General features: G+C 38.3%; 2 annotated features.

Moving 5' to 3' along the window:
• Positions 9,352-9,851: an enhancer, noted in NCBI's record as "H3K4me1 hESC enhancer chr3:147035143-147035642 (GRCh37/hg19 assembly coordinates)". NCBI's record gives its function as "activates a minimal SCP1, AML or CMV promoter by ChIP-STARR-seq in naive H9 embryonic stem cells {active_cell/tissue: H9 hESC(naive)}" and the evidence as "EXISTENCE:reporter gene assay evidence [ECO:0000049][PMID:30033119]".
• Positions 9,852-10,353: an enhancer, noted in NCBI's record as "H3K4me1 hESC enhancer chr3:147034641-147035142 (GRCh37/hg19 assembly coordinates)". NCBI's record gives its function as "activates a minimal SCP1, AML or CMV promoter by ChIP-STARR-seq in naive H9 embryonic stem cells {active_cell/tissue: H9 hESC(naive)}" and the evidence as "EXISTENCE:reporter gene assay evidence [ECO:0000049][PMID:30033119]".

Genomic DNA, 14,513 nt, shown 5'->3' with positions numbered 1-14,513 from the left:
CCATTTTGGTAGAATATATTCTCCACTAGGTTCTTGAGAAATGGGCCAAAGTAAATATATTTAGGAAATGTCATGTATAAAAATTCTTTTATTTTATCATTATATTTGACTATTATTTAGACTGGATATATATTTCTAGTTGAAGATTATTTCCATATTTCAACAAGAGTGCACTGTCATTTTCTAGTTTCCAATGTTGATGGTAAGAAATCTGATGCCATTCATATTTTAAATAAATTGTTTGTGACTTTTATTTTTTTAAAAGAACTTATTGGGATCTTAATATTTTTACTAATAGTATAAAATTTCACATTTTAATACGTTCTTATTTATTTATTATATAGTGTAGCAAAAGGCCCTTTTCAGTAGGAATATTCATTTTTCTCTATGCCAGACTACTCATGTTTCTCTTATTCTTCTAAGAAAATTAGGAGAAGATAAATCTAAAATATATAAGAAAATTATCACTTTCTAAACCTTACATTAATAAAATGATAAACTTTCATATTTATTTCTTTATGAGAGATTATTTACAGAGCTTTGGTCCTCCCACCCCACTTTTTTTTTTTTTTTTTTTTTTTTTTTTTTTTTTTTTTTTTTGCAAGCTGGACTGCAATGGTGCGATCTTGGCTCACTGCAACCTCAGCCTCCCGGCTCAAGCGATTCTCCCACCTCAGCCTCCTGAGTAGCTGGGATTACAGGCACCCGCCAACACGCCCAGCTAATTTTTGTAATTTTAGTAGAGATGCAGTTTCACCATGTTAACCAGGCTGGTCTCGAAATCCTAATCTCAGGTGATCCACCTGCCTCGGCCTCCCAAAGTGCTGGGATTACAGGCATGAGCCACCGCCCCCAGCCTTACTCATTCTTTAGATCTAATTTTTCTCTGATTGAGGTGACTTTTTCTGAACCTTCTACCTGAAAACTGGGTTAGATGTCTTTTTATGTGGTTTTGTTGAGCTTATTACCCAATGTTAATAGACTTTTAGCTACATGAAGTTAAGGATGGAGGGTGTCTTGTTGTCCTCTTCTTTCCAGTGTGTGAGCATTCAATGAATTTTTGTTGAATTAATGAATGAATTGGTTTTAGAGACAGAGTCATCTAGAATATTGACTATGCCTGACACTACTACCTGTCCACCAAACTACATTCTTATTTCTTTAGTAACAAAATATCCACACATATGCTTAGCTAAGGACTACATTTGCCTTTGTAGCTAGGTGTCGCCATATGATTCAATTCTAGCTTAAGGGGTATAAGCAAAAGTGCTGCACTCCAATTCTCTTCCATATATTTAAAGGAATGCGCATGTGCCCCACTTGCCTTGTCTCCCTTTCTGTTGGATGAAGTAGACCTCTTCAATTATAAGCTAAAGGCAGTTTTGAGGCTAGTGTAACAATGCAACAGAAAGAACCTGCATTTCTGGCAGACCTTGTGGACTGCAGCCCCTGCCATCCCTATATGGCCTTCTCTGGATAGCTACATGGAGAGAAATAAACTTTATCTTGTTGAAACTACTTTATTTTTATATTTTTCTAACATGCAACATAGACAGTATATTTGGTATATTTCAATTTTTCAGTCAGTAAGTTGAAGAATGTGCTAGAAATCTATGGTTGGTCGCTGGCAGCCAGATCCAGGATTGTGAAGAGAATATACTTTGCACCACTACTTACCCTTCCTCTGATCATGAGATATATTCATTTTAGGTAACTAGTTCACATGTATCTCTGCTAAGATTTCTGGTTAACTTACTCTCCTCATATGTTCCTAAATAAGCTTGTGCCTTTTTTTCTCTTTTATTTCTTATGTCATAATTTTATAATTTCTGCCATAGGAAATGAAGGTATTAGAAATAGCTTGTTTTAAAAGCTAATTTCATAAAAACTAAACTCTGAGGAGTTTGTAGGAAACTAATAAATATATTATTACCTATTAATACTTCCAAAAGTGCCTGACACTGAATAGAATAGAAAGGTTAATTTATGTAGTCCTCAAAGAATTAACATTTTTTACCCACACACATACATACACACATACACAGACATATTGACACACACACTTTAGTTGATCAATGTTGAACTGACATTTCTACTAAGAATGTCTCAAGGGAGCCTCAAATTCAACATGTTCAAAACAGAATTTATTATTTTCTTTGCTGCCCCTCTTCTAGTTCTTTCATTCTCAATGAAACCATTAATCTAATGATACTTGTCAGAAACCTGACCCCCATACACAATTTGAAATTAATTTCTATCAGTGTTACTTCTAATATGTTTCTCTAATATATCCACTTATCTTCTTTTTACCTCTAGCAAACTAGTCCAAGACACCATTCTCTCTCACTGAGAGGAATGTCTCAACTGGTCTTTTAATATTCATTCTTGTCTCTTTTCAATTTGTTCCTTTTATTTCAGCTAGACATTTCCTTTTGAAATTCATATCTGGTGATATCAAATTTCTGATTAAAATAGTTCTCAATGGATTCACATTGCTCTTGAGGTAAAGACCAAAACCTTTAACAAGACCTACAAGGCTCTCTGTGGCCAGGCTTTGACCTACATCTCTAAGCCTCATTAGCAACATAATTCCAAGCCATGCCATTATTTCAGTTCTTTTCCATCTCCAAAAGGGCCACAGGGCCTTTGCACATGTTCTTTTGTAGGGAATACTCCTTAGCAGGCCTCCCAGATAATCTTCAAATCTTAGTTCTACTTTTACTCCTTCAGGATGCTTTACCTAACCTCTTATTATACATTTTCACAGAAAACTCTTTGTAGCACATATCACAGTTATAATTTGTGTATACTTTTTATCATTATCTAATTAATATCAGACTCCCAAATTAAACTATAAGATCTAGGAAGATAATACTTTTGCCTATTTTTGTTCATTACTGTATCCTTTGCATTTCACATAATGCCTGACACATAGTAGGTTATAATTAAATATTTGTTGAATAAATGAAAGCTTCTTTTTCCCTCCCTCACTTCTTCTCTTTCTTTTTCTTTCTTTCTTTCTTTCTCATTCTTTCATTCTTGCTCTTTTTTTGGGATATGGCCATAAATGATAAATAACTTGGTTTTATTTACATTAATCAAGAAAAGACCAATAAATAAATTGTTTTAAAAAGCATTTGAATTTTCAGTGAATAAAATGATAATAATTACACTGGGCACTATAGTAGCAATGTTTAATTTTGATGTTTATTTGCTTGGTATTTATATTCCAAAATATATGTTAGCTTTATCAAAAAGGAATCTAAGGGTATTATAAACTCTAACTTGGCAGCATTTAAAAAATATTCAAGATATTCTAGTAATTTTGCTTAAGTACAGTAAGCACACCAAACAACGAATGATCCCTCCCTTGTTCTTTGTTTTATGATATGATTAATTACTTTCTATTTTCCAATGAGATTTTTCTTTATTTTATTTTAGAAAACCATCTTGATTTAATAAACAATTTGTTTATAGATGTATGTATCTATGCCTTAGCTTTCTTCTTGAGAACTATAGATAGCATAATGTAGTATGCTTGGAAATGATAATAGTGTTACTAATATTTTGTGTGCTTCCTTGTGGAACCACACTTATAAGTGACAAGACAAATCTTTTATACCTCAACCCACATTTTTATTTGTGAATATTTTATTCTTTCATCTGTAAAAACCTGGTTCACCTTCAACTGGATAATAGCTTTCTGAATCAGACTATAGAATGTGCTACATTCCCAGAAGGCAAATTTGTGAGTTTTAGATAAATGTCATGTATTTTTGTTTAATTATCTCAAAATATATAATACAGTGGGGGTGAATGACAGCTGTGTGAGGATGTATATATTAAAGAATCCTCTTACTGGTTTTTGGCAGGGCCTGCTGTAGTTCCAGTCTCTTTGTTTACCATGTGCAAAAGACTGGATCAACTTTCAAACACTTTATTATGGTTTAATAGGGGAATCATTAGTAGATGAGTTTAACAGACCCAAATGCTAGACACTCAGTGGTTTATTTTTCAAGATTAAAATAATGTCTGTTTCTAACCTTCAGGAGTTTGAAGCAAATTTGCATACAGCTGTATTCAGTTAAGTGCCTTTCAGACTTCTTGTTACATTAAGAATGTACAAGTATTAAGAGTGCTTGTAATACAATTGACTTTAGGCTGAATTTTACATTAATGGCCCCTTTTGTTATTTAGCTGGCATTAAAGGCTTAAGTACAAGAAAGCCAATGCACAAAGTGTACCATTTTTATTTTAATTTAAACTACCAAAAAATTTAGTGATGAAAACATCCGTTATGCTATTTGAGATAATTTTTCCGCCAAAGCTCTTTTTAGCAAAAGGCAAATGTTAAAAGAATCTCAAAATGCAGTTACCTCAGGATTGCTGGGCAAATGGATAAAGACTGCAGTGATACAAATTTTAACCACAATGGCCTGGGGACAGAAAGCTGATGGAGTTTGGGCTTCTCTTAGGATGCTGTCAGGAAAAGGCCCATTACCATTGGCAAACAGGGAAAAGGATTGTGAGTAGGATGCTAAGAAGTGCAGCACGGGATGTACAGCAAAGATGTCGCAGCCGTTGCCAGAACAGGAAGTGCTTTCAACTAATCTCTAAGGGAAATCCTTCTGGCAACCTTTATTTAACAAATGCCTTCCAATTATGCTATTTATGTGATCTCTACTAGCTTATTGATATCTTTAATAGGAATTATCCAATGTCTAATAAAATCACTACTTCTCTAGAAATGATAGAATATACCAGATAAATGAATTTTATAATTAATTTTAACATCATAATTCTAAACTATGCTAGCCTGCATTTAATTCTATTAATCAAATATCAGGTTATTACTATGCATAAGGCATCAAATCAGCACCTTTCCTTTCTTGGTATATGAGAAATGCAATGAATATGATTGATGACCTAGGAACTTGCAGTACCTCTTATAGTCTCCATACTGTATATTAATTCTCATTGAATATCAGTTCACATAAGAATGTAGAAAATTAAGGAGACTACATTGAATTCTTTGATTGTCTATGGAAATATATACCTTTATGTTTGAAACTTTTTTGCTTTTTATTTTCTTCTTTTTCTTATAAGTAAAGTACTAAGAAAAGTTTCGTTAATTGAGGGATCTGGATAGTTGAATCCCAAATACTGAGGGTTTGTCACAAACTTATTCTCTCTATATACGTTTGGTTATTATTTTAAAAGAGTGCTGCTTGAAACTAATCTATCTGACATAATATGAGAAGTGGCTTTTCAATGAAAGATGAAAAAGACAGATGGGAAGAGACCAAGGTTTTGGAATTGTATCTTTTGACTGTGATAGGTATATTATTGAACTACTGATAACACTAAAGTCCACAGAGAAGGCCGGGCACGGTGGCTTACACCTGTAATCCTAGCACTTTGGGAGGCCGAAGGGGGTGGATCACCTGAGGTCAGGAGTTCGAGATTAACCTGGCCAACATGGTAAAACCTTGACTCTACTAAAAATACAAAAATTAGCCAGGCGAGGTAGCACGTGCCTGTTTTTCCAGCTACTCAGAAGGCTGAGGCACGAGAATCACTTGAACCTGGGAGGCAGAGGTTGCAGTGAGCTGAGATCTCACCATTGCACTTCAGCCTGGGCAATAAGAATGAAGCTCCATCTTAAAGAAAAAAAAAAAGTCCACAGAGAGGTGAAAGAAGTGTCTGGAGGGTATGGCCAAAGAAAACATCTGGTAGACATTTGACCCAGCCATCCCATTACTGGGTATATACCCAAAGGACTATAAATCATGCTGCTATAAAGACACATGTACACGTATGTTTATTGCGGCTCTATTCACAATAACAAAGACTTGGAACCAACCCAAATGTCCAACAATGATAGACTGGATTAAGAAAATGTGGCACATATACACCATGGAATACTATGCAGCCATAAAAAATGATGAGTTCATGTCCTTTGTAGGGACATGGATGAAATTGTAAATCATCATTCTCAGTAAACTATCGCAAGGACAAAAAACCAAACACCGCATATTCTCACTCATAGGTGGGAATTGAACAATGAGAACTCATGGACACAGGAAGGGGAACATCACACTCTGGGGACTGTTGTGGGGTGGGGAGGGGGGAGAGATAGCATTAGGAGATATACCTAATGCTAAATGACGAGTTAATGGGTGCAGCACACCAGCATGGCACATGTATACACATGTAACTAACCTGCACATTGTGCACATGTACCCTAAAACTTAAAGTATAATAATAATAAAATAAAATAAAAGAATGAAAAAAAAAAGGAAACATCTTGTAGAACAAACATTAGCAAGAACCTCCTACTGGGCGAGTGGATTATAACAAATTGAGTAGCTGTGCACACTTTGCTAAGTATGGGATACACTGTTATCTTGGAAAATATTTTCAAGGAGTTGGTCATCATCATGTAACCCAAAGAAAAAAGGCAGTGACTTCTCCATATTGAGACACAAAATCAGGGCTGGATCTGACAGACAAAGCAGAAAACACAATCTAGGGTTGCAAATTTACAAGACTACAGGGGATGAGCAGAAAATGCATATGGGTGAAATTGGCCAGTTAAGACTGTGACAAACTGGAGAGCTCATGCTTTGTGTACTTGGTGAAATGGTTATTTATTGTCTTCACATAGAAATGCAGGCCCATTGTGGCCAGATCTTACAATTTAAAAATAATAATTAACATGCACCAAAAAAAAACCCAGAATAAGTAAAAAGTAATGACCTGGAGATCTACAAGTCTTCTATCTTTATGCTATATTCATAGCATGACTTGCAAGAGTCTGCTTACGTCTCATCTTCCATTGTGCTACTCCTTCATAACTCTACACTAGTTGCACTGGTCTCTTGTTTCTTATATAGAGATGGGGTCTTACGATGTTGCATGAGCTGGTCTCAAACTTCTGGGATTAAGGAATCTTCCTGCCTCAGCCTCCCAAGTAGCTGGGACTACAAGTGAGCACCACTGTGTTCAGCTGCACTGGCCTTTAAAAAAGTTTATCAGATATTTCTTTTTCAGGAGCATTTTTTTTGAGACAGAATTTCACTCTTGTCACCCAGGCTGGAGTGCAATGGCGCAATCCCAGCTCACTGCAACCTCTGCCTCCTGGGTTCAAGTGATTCTCCAGCCTTGCCTCCTGAGTAGCTGGGATTACAGGCTTGTGTCACCATGCCCAGCTAATTTTGTATTTTTAGTAGAGATGGGGTCTCACCGTGTTGGCCAGGCTGGTCTTGAACTCCTGACCTCAGGTGATCCACCTGCCTCAGCCTGCCAAAGTGCTGGGATTATAGGCATGAGCCACCGTGCCCAGCTATGAGCATTCTTTAATCATTCTCTTTGCACAATTATTTCTTCCTCTTCTTTTTGAGGCAGAATCTTATGCTATCACCTAGGCTGGAGTGCAATGGTACAAACATGGCTCACTGCAACCTCAAATGCCTGAACGCAAGTGATCCTCCTGCCTCAGCTTCCCAAATAGCTGGAAATATAGGCTTGGGCCACTGCGCTCAGCTGTTTTTGATTTTTTTTTTTTGTAGGGATGGGCATCTCACTTTGTTGCCTAGGCTGGTCTTGAACTCTTGGGCTCAGTGGATCCTCCCTCCTCAGCCTTCCAAAGTGCTGGGATTACAGGCATGAGCCACCATGCCTGGCATGATTCGATTATCTCTTATTCGTCCCTGAGATCTCAGCAAAAATATAATCTCTCAGGACAGTTGCTCTTTCAAGTTCCTCCCTGCAACCCCCCAAGATTAGATAAGAATTCCTCTCATAGGACTTCGTACATTTTGTCATCTTACCTATCTATTTGGTATCTGTGTGTGGCTTTCTTTTGGTGGGTAATGCTAGGAGTCAAATGCTTTGTTTAATGTCTAGTTCATCACTGGATTATAAGCATCACAAGTTTTGGGACTTACCTGTTTTTGAAAATGCTGTTTCTCCATAACTTAACATAGTGCCTATGCAGATCCTCAGAATATATTTACTTAATCAATCAATGTACTAACCCCTAGCACAGCAGAACTAATATATCTTGGGGAAAAGGGCTCGTGAGATCTCTCCTTGGTCCTGAAAACTATTTGTGAAAAGACACGGCTGCTTGATTGAAACATTTTAGGTAAGGAGATAGCAACTGGTAACAATTGGCCAGGGAGTGGGGGAAGTTGAGAGAGGAAAAGGGAACTAATAAAATAAACTAATATTTACTGACACTTTTCTACATATGTATGTCTTTTCTTTACATAAACACTGGACTTTGGCCGGGCATGGTGGCTCACGCCTGTAATCCCAGCACTTTGGGGTCTGAGGCAGGTGGATGACCTGAGGTCAGTAGTTCAAGACCAGCCTGGCTAACACGGAGAAACCCTTTTTCTACTAAAAATACAAACAATTAGCCAGGTGTGGTTGCATGCACCTGTAATCCCAGCTTCTCGGAAAGCTGAGGCAGGAGAATCACTTGAACCTGGGAGGCAGAGGTTACAGTTGGCCAAGAGCATGCCATTGCACTCCAGCTTGGGCAACAAGGGTGAAACTCTCCCCTCCACCAAAAAAAAGAGGGGACTTCAAAAAGTTTGTGGAAAAAAATGGAAGTAAAAACTAAACTAAAAATATGGACCAGGTGTGGTGGCTCAGGCTTGTAATCCCAGCAGTTGGGAGGCCAAGGCAGGCACATCACTTGAGGCCAGGAGTTCAAGACCAGCCTGGCCAACATGGCAAAACCCTGTTATATACCAAAAATACAAAAATTAGCTGGGCATGGTGGCAAAGACCTGTAATCCCAGCTACTTGGGTGGCTGAGGCACTAGAATCACTTGAAGCTGGGAGGCAGAGGTTGTAGTAAGCTGAGACTGCACCACTGCACTCCACCCTGGGTGACAGAGTGCGACTGTAAAAAAAAAAAAAAAAGGAAAAAAGGAAAATAAAAAGAAGAACACCCCTAAAAATATAAACCTTATTTCTCAATATAATCTCTATCCAAGGAATTGTTGGTAAGCAATGATACCAGCTATTTAGTTCATCTCTAAAGAACTGAGGGTCCTGGGAACTGAAACATATATTATTAACTAAGGAAAAATGGGTAACCTCTATGATTTTTTAAGGTTAGGAATCAAAAAGAAGTTAAAAGGAGCCAAATTAGGACTATAAGGTGGATTCCTAATGATTTCCATGGAAACTCTCAGAAAATGTCCTTGTTTGATGAGAGAAGTGAGCAAGAGCATTGTCATATTGGACAAGGACTCTCTGGTGAAGTTTTCCTGGGCATTTTTCTGCTAAACCTTTGGCTGACTTTCTCAAAACACTCTCATGGTAAGCTTTCTCAAAAAACTCCCACAATATTGTTCTTTGGCTGTCTAGAAATTCAGCAAACAAAATGACTTGAGCATTCTAAAAAAAAATCATTGCTGGGGGAGGTTCCAAGATGGCCGAATAGGAACAGCTCCAGTCTACAGCTCCCAGCGTGAGCCACACAGAAGATGGGTGATTTCTGCATTTCCTACTGAGGTACTGGGTTCATCTCACTGGGGCTTGTCAGACAGTGAGTGCAGCCCATGGAGCATGAGCCGAAGGAGGGCAGGGCATCACCTCACCTGGGAAGTGCAAGGGGTCAGGGAATTCCCTTTCGTAGCAACGGGAAGCCGTGACAGATGGTATCTGGAAAATCGGGACACTCCCACCCTAATACTGTGCTTTTCCAATGGTCTTAGCAAAGGGCATACCAGGAGATTATATCCTGAGCCTGGCTCGGAGGGTCCCATGCCCATGGAGCCTCGCTCATTGCTAGCACAGCAGTCTGAGGTCGAACTGCAAGGCAGCAGTGAGGCTGGGGGAGGGGCGTCCGCCATGGCTGAGGCTTGAGTAGGTAAACAAAGCAGCCAGGAAGCTCGAACTGGGTGGAGCCCACCACAGCTCAAGGAGGCCTGCCTGCCTCTGTGGACTCCACCACTGGGGGCAGGACATAGCTGAAAAAAAGGCAGCAGAAACTTCTGCAGACTTAATTGTCCCTGTCTGACAGCTTTGAAGAGAGTAGTGGTTCTCCCAGCACAGAGTTTGAGATCTGAGAACAGACAGACTGCCTCCTCAAGTGGGTCCCTGACCCCTGAGTAGCCTAACTGGGAGGCACCTCCCAGTAGGGGCCGACTGACACCTCATACAGCCTGGTGCCCCTCTGAGATGAAGCTTCCAGAGGAAGGATCAGGCAGCAACATTTGTCGTTCTGCAATATTTGCTGTTCTGCAGCCTCCACCGGTGATACCTAGACAAACAGGGTCTGGAGTGGACCTCCAGCAAACTCCAACAGACCTGCAGCTGAGGGTCCTGACTGTTAGAAGGAAAACAAACAAACAGAACGGACATCCACACCAAAACCCCATCTGTACATCACCATCATCAAAGACCAAAGGTAGATAAAACCACAAAGATGGGGAGAGACCAGAGCAGAAAAGCTGAAAATTCTAAAAATCAGAGTGCCTCTTCTTCTCCAAAGGAACGCGGCTTCTCACCAGCAACAGAACAAAGCTGGATGGAGAATGACTTTGACGAGTTGAGAGAAGAAGGCTTCAGATGACTGGTAATAACAAACTTCTCCAAGCTAAAGGAGGATGTTTGAACCCATTGCAAAGCAGCTAAAATCCTTGAGAAAAGATTAGACGAATGGCTAACTAGAATTAACAGCAAAGAGAAGACCTTAAATGACCTGATGGAGCTGAAAACTATGGCACGAGAACTACATGATGCATGCGTAAGCTTCAGTAGCCAATTTGATCAAGTGGAAGAAAGGGTATCAGTGATTGAAGATCAAATGAATGAAATGAAGTGAGAAGAGAAGTTTAGAGAAAAAAGAGTAAAAAGAAATGAACAAAACCTCCAAGAAATGTGGGACTATATGAAAAGACCAAATCTATGTCTGATTGCTGTATCTGAAAGTGACAGGGAGAATGGAACCAAGTTGGAAAACACTCTTCAGGATATTATTCAGGAGAACCTCCCCAACCTAGCAAGTCAGGCCAACATTCAAATTCAGGAAATACAGAGAACGCCACAAAGATACTCCTCAAGAAGAGCAAGTCCAAGACACATAATTGTCAGATTCACCAAAGTTGAAATGAAGGAGCCAGAGAGAAAGGTCAGGTTACCCACAAAGGGAAGCCCATCAGACTAACAGCTGATCTCTTGGCAGAGACTCTACAAGCCAGAAGAGAGTGGGGGCCAATATTCAACATTCTTAAAGAAAAGAATTTTTAACCCAGAATTTCATTTCCAGCCAAACTAAGCTTCATAAGTGAAGGAGAAATAAAATCCTTTACAGACAAGTAAATGCTGAACGATTTTGTCACCACCAGGCCTGTCTTACAAGAGCTCCTGAAGGAAGCACTAAACATGGAAAGGAACAACCAGTACCAGCCACTGCAAAAACATGCCAAATTGTAAAGACCATTGATGCTAGGAAGAAACTGCATCAACTAATGAGCAAAATAACCAGCTAACCTCATAATGACAGGATCAAATTCACACATAACAATATTAACCTTAAGTGTAAATGGGCTAAATGCTCCAATTGAAAGACACAGACTGGCAAATTGAATAAAGAGTCAAGACCCATCAGTGTGCTGTATTCAGGTGACCCATCTCATGTGCAGAGACACATGTAGCCTCAAAGGGATGGAGGAAGATCTACCAAGCAAATGGAAAACAAAAAAAAAGCAGGGGTTGCAATCCTAGTCTCTGATAAAACAGACTTTAAACCAACAAAGATCAAAAGGGGCAAAGAAGACGATTATGTAATGGTGAAGGGATCAATTCAACGAGAAGAGCTAACTATCCTAAATATATATGCACCCAATACAGGAGCACCCAGATTCATAAAGCAAGTCCTTAGAGACCTACAAAGAGACTTAGACTCCCACACAATAATAATGGGAGACTTTAACACCCCACTCTCAACATTAGACAGATCGAGATACAAAGTTAACAAGGATATCCAGGAATTGAACACAGCTCTGCACCAAGCCGACCTAATAGACCTAATAGACCTATTCTGTGAATCTGTATTTGTATACAGAAAATAATTGACAATACTTGTTTTTCCAGGATGACTTTTTAAAGACAATAGATTGCAGTAAGTAATAAACATTGCAATATCATTAGTTACTGAGTGGACCCTCTTTATCTTTGGAAGTCATATTTTGACAAAGTTTAATCCTGAGAAGGAAAGATAATATTCAATTTTATGATTGTAGGTTTTTCATTAGGTTGATGAGCACCTAGTACTGCTTAAGAGGTGTACCCTAATCATCTAAATTATCTGAATTACTCCCCCAAATGCCTTCTTTCTGGAACTGGTGAAGTATTTCTTGTGAGGGCTACCCACAATACTGTGTATTTATTTGCACTTGCAGTCTTTGAAAGGAATGACTTGGTTAGCTATACATAAGGGACTCCTTAAGTATATTTATGAATAGATGTAGGGATGGGGTCTTTGATGAATGGATTTAGGTGCAGGACCAGTAAACACATCTCAGAAAGGGAGGAGAAGGAGAAATCTTAATGTTGGCCCAAAGTTCAAGCTCAAAATGGGGTCCAGGGGCTGACCCATATGTATTGGGGGTGACCCTAACGTCCCGCCCACAAATCTCAGTCAGGGAGTGAGCAGAAGCAAGATATAGGTGCTTATGCCTAATGCCCAGTGCATGCAGCATCATTCCTTCTGGATTGTTCAGATTTTACAGGCAAAACTATCTACTGGCCACTCCTGATGTATTCTTATCTTCTTTCAAGACCGCCACCTCATTTCCACTTCACTCCCTTCCTGCTGCATTTTATACACAGCATAAGAATGAAAACTGTGATTTGTCTTGGGTTCTACTAATGAAGTAATATAAGCTTCCCTCATTTATTACAAAGTGAAGCTGTTCAGATCCAGTTTTGAGAATCTTTTAAATGGTTCTTATTTATCACTTAAGTTTTAGAATACACATACAATATAGGTTTCCAAGGATCAATTAAAACAGCAAACAAGCCTGCTGGTATATTTAAGTTTTCCAAAAGTGACAGTTTCTCTGTGTCTCTTTAGGCACTTATTTAATTCTGCAGTTTTTACTTAATTTATTTCCTATGAAAAATCATATATACATAAGCATTATAGATAGGAAATTATGGTCTGAAAATCAATATTTTCACAAGAAGCTATTAATTTCACAGCATAGAAAGTGGAGAATATAGTGTAACATATAAGTCACTTTGTTTATTTCAACCTATGCAAATATGATATATATTTAAACAGATTGTTTTGCAAGTGTACTGTTTGACTAGGGAAAATGAGTTGTGATTTCAAAAGCTACCATTCTAAAGAGGGTATGTGTTCACAAACATGAGCAAGAGTGAATGTTAAGGTAACATAACTATGGGCATTAGACGTAATGGCATTAGAACAACAAGTAATGTTTGCTCTAGCAAAATAAAATGTGTCATCCTTCTGTGATTTAGACTTGCTATAATTAGAAACTGTTTATAAGGTGTTATTTAGTAGTTTCCATTATGCAGCTGTCTATTTAAATCATTTAATTTTGGCATCTAATCCAACTTCCAGTCTCCATCAGAGACAAATAAGAAACCATATGTGAAGGCATCTGTGGAAATCTTCCTTTTATTTATGACAACATTAAAGTAAGACTCAGATGTCAGTTACTTAACAGTAATAGACATTCCTTTGCACCTATAGTGCTGGGTTACTTGGGCATATCCCTCAGTGGTATCTTATACCTACTGCTGTTTGCTTCATTATATACAGATGCACAGCAGTGGAGATACTAATAGTCTTTCTTAATTAAATAAAGCTAAATGTTAATTAGTCCAAAAATGATTTATTTTCAGTGCATGAAACTTTTCATAGTGGGCCTCTTGCTTTTAAAGAACAGGTTGTATTCTCATTTAGAACTTTACATTTTCCTTCTTTATTTGGGGTTTGTATTTGGAGTCTTGTGGTGGGATCTAATCGTCATAGAGAAATTATAGGTCTACAGATGTTTTCAAGATGTTCCTCTGTCAGTAGCAGATTATCCCCTGTAGCAAAATCTCATTAAAGTGCAATTTACAGAGCTCTGCTGATGTTGCCATCAACCAAAATTAAAGGCATTAATTTTTCAAAGTTCACAGAAGTCCTTACATAAATGATGTAGCAGTTTGCAAGAACAATTTACAGAAGTGTTATTTGCAGAATTAACCTACATTAACAGAACAAATGTTGTAAGGGTGGAAGAAAGGGCTGGGCAGTGAAATTGCAGCTGTTCCCAGTTTATATTAGGTGCTTGATGTAAAGAAGTGTTGAAATGTAACAATGACTGCTTGCAGGGTGAAAAGTTGAGAAGGGAAAACAGAAATTTGAACGACCTTGCTAAAGAGTTAAGCTTACAACAGAGTGATCACCAGTTGGGGACACCCAGTGAGACCTTAAATTCTACTTTGAAACATCTGTAGTCAATATC

This window comes from Homo sapiens, chromosome 3 (genome assembly GCF_000001405.40).
Source record: "Homo sapiens chromosome 3, GRCh38.p14 Primary Assembly".
NCBI lineage: Eukaryota > Metazoa > Chordata > Mammalia > Primates > Hominidae > Homo > Homo sapiens.
Note: the sequence above shows the minus strand (reverse complement) of the source record. Positions and strands in the feature narration are given on the sequence as shown.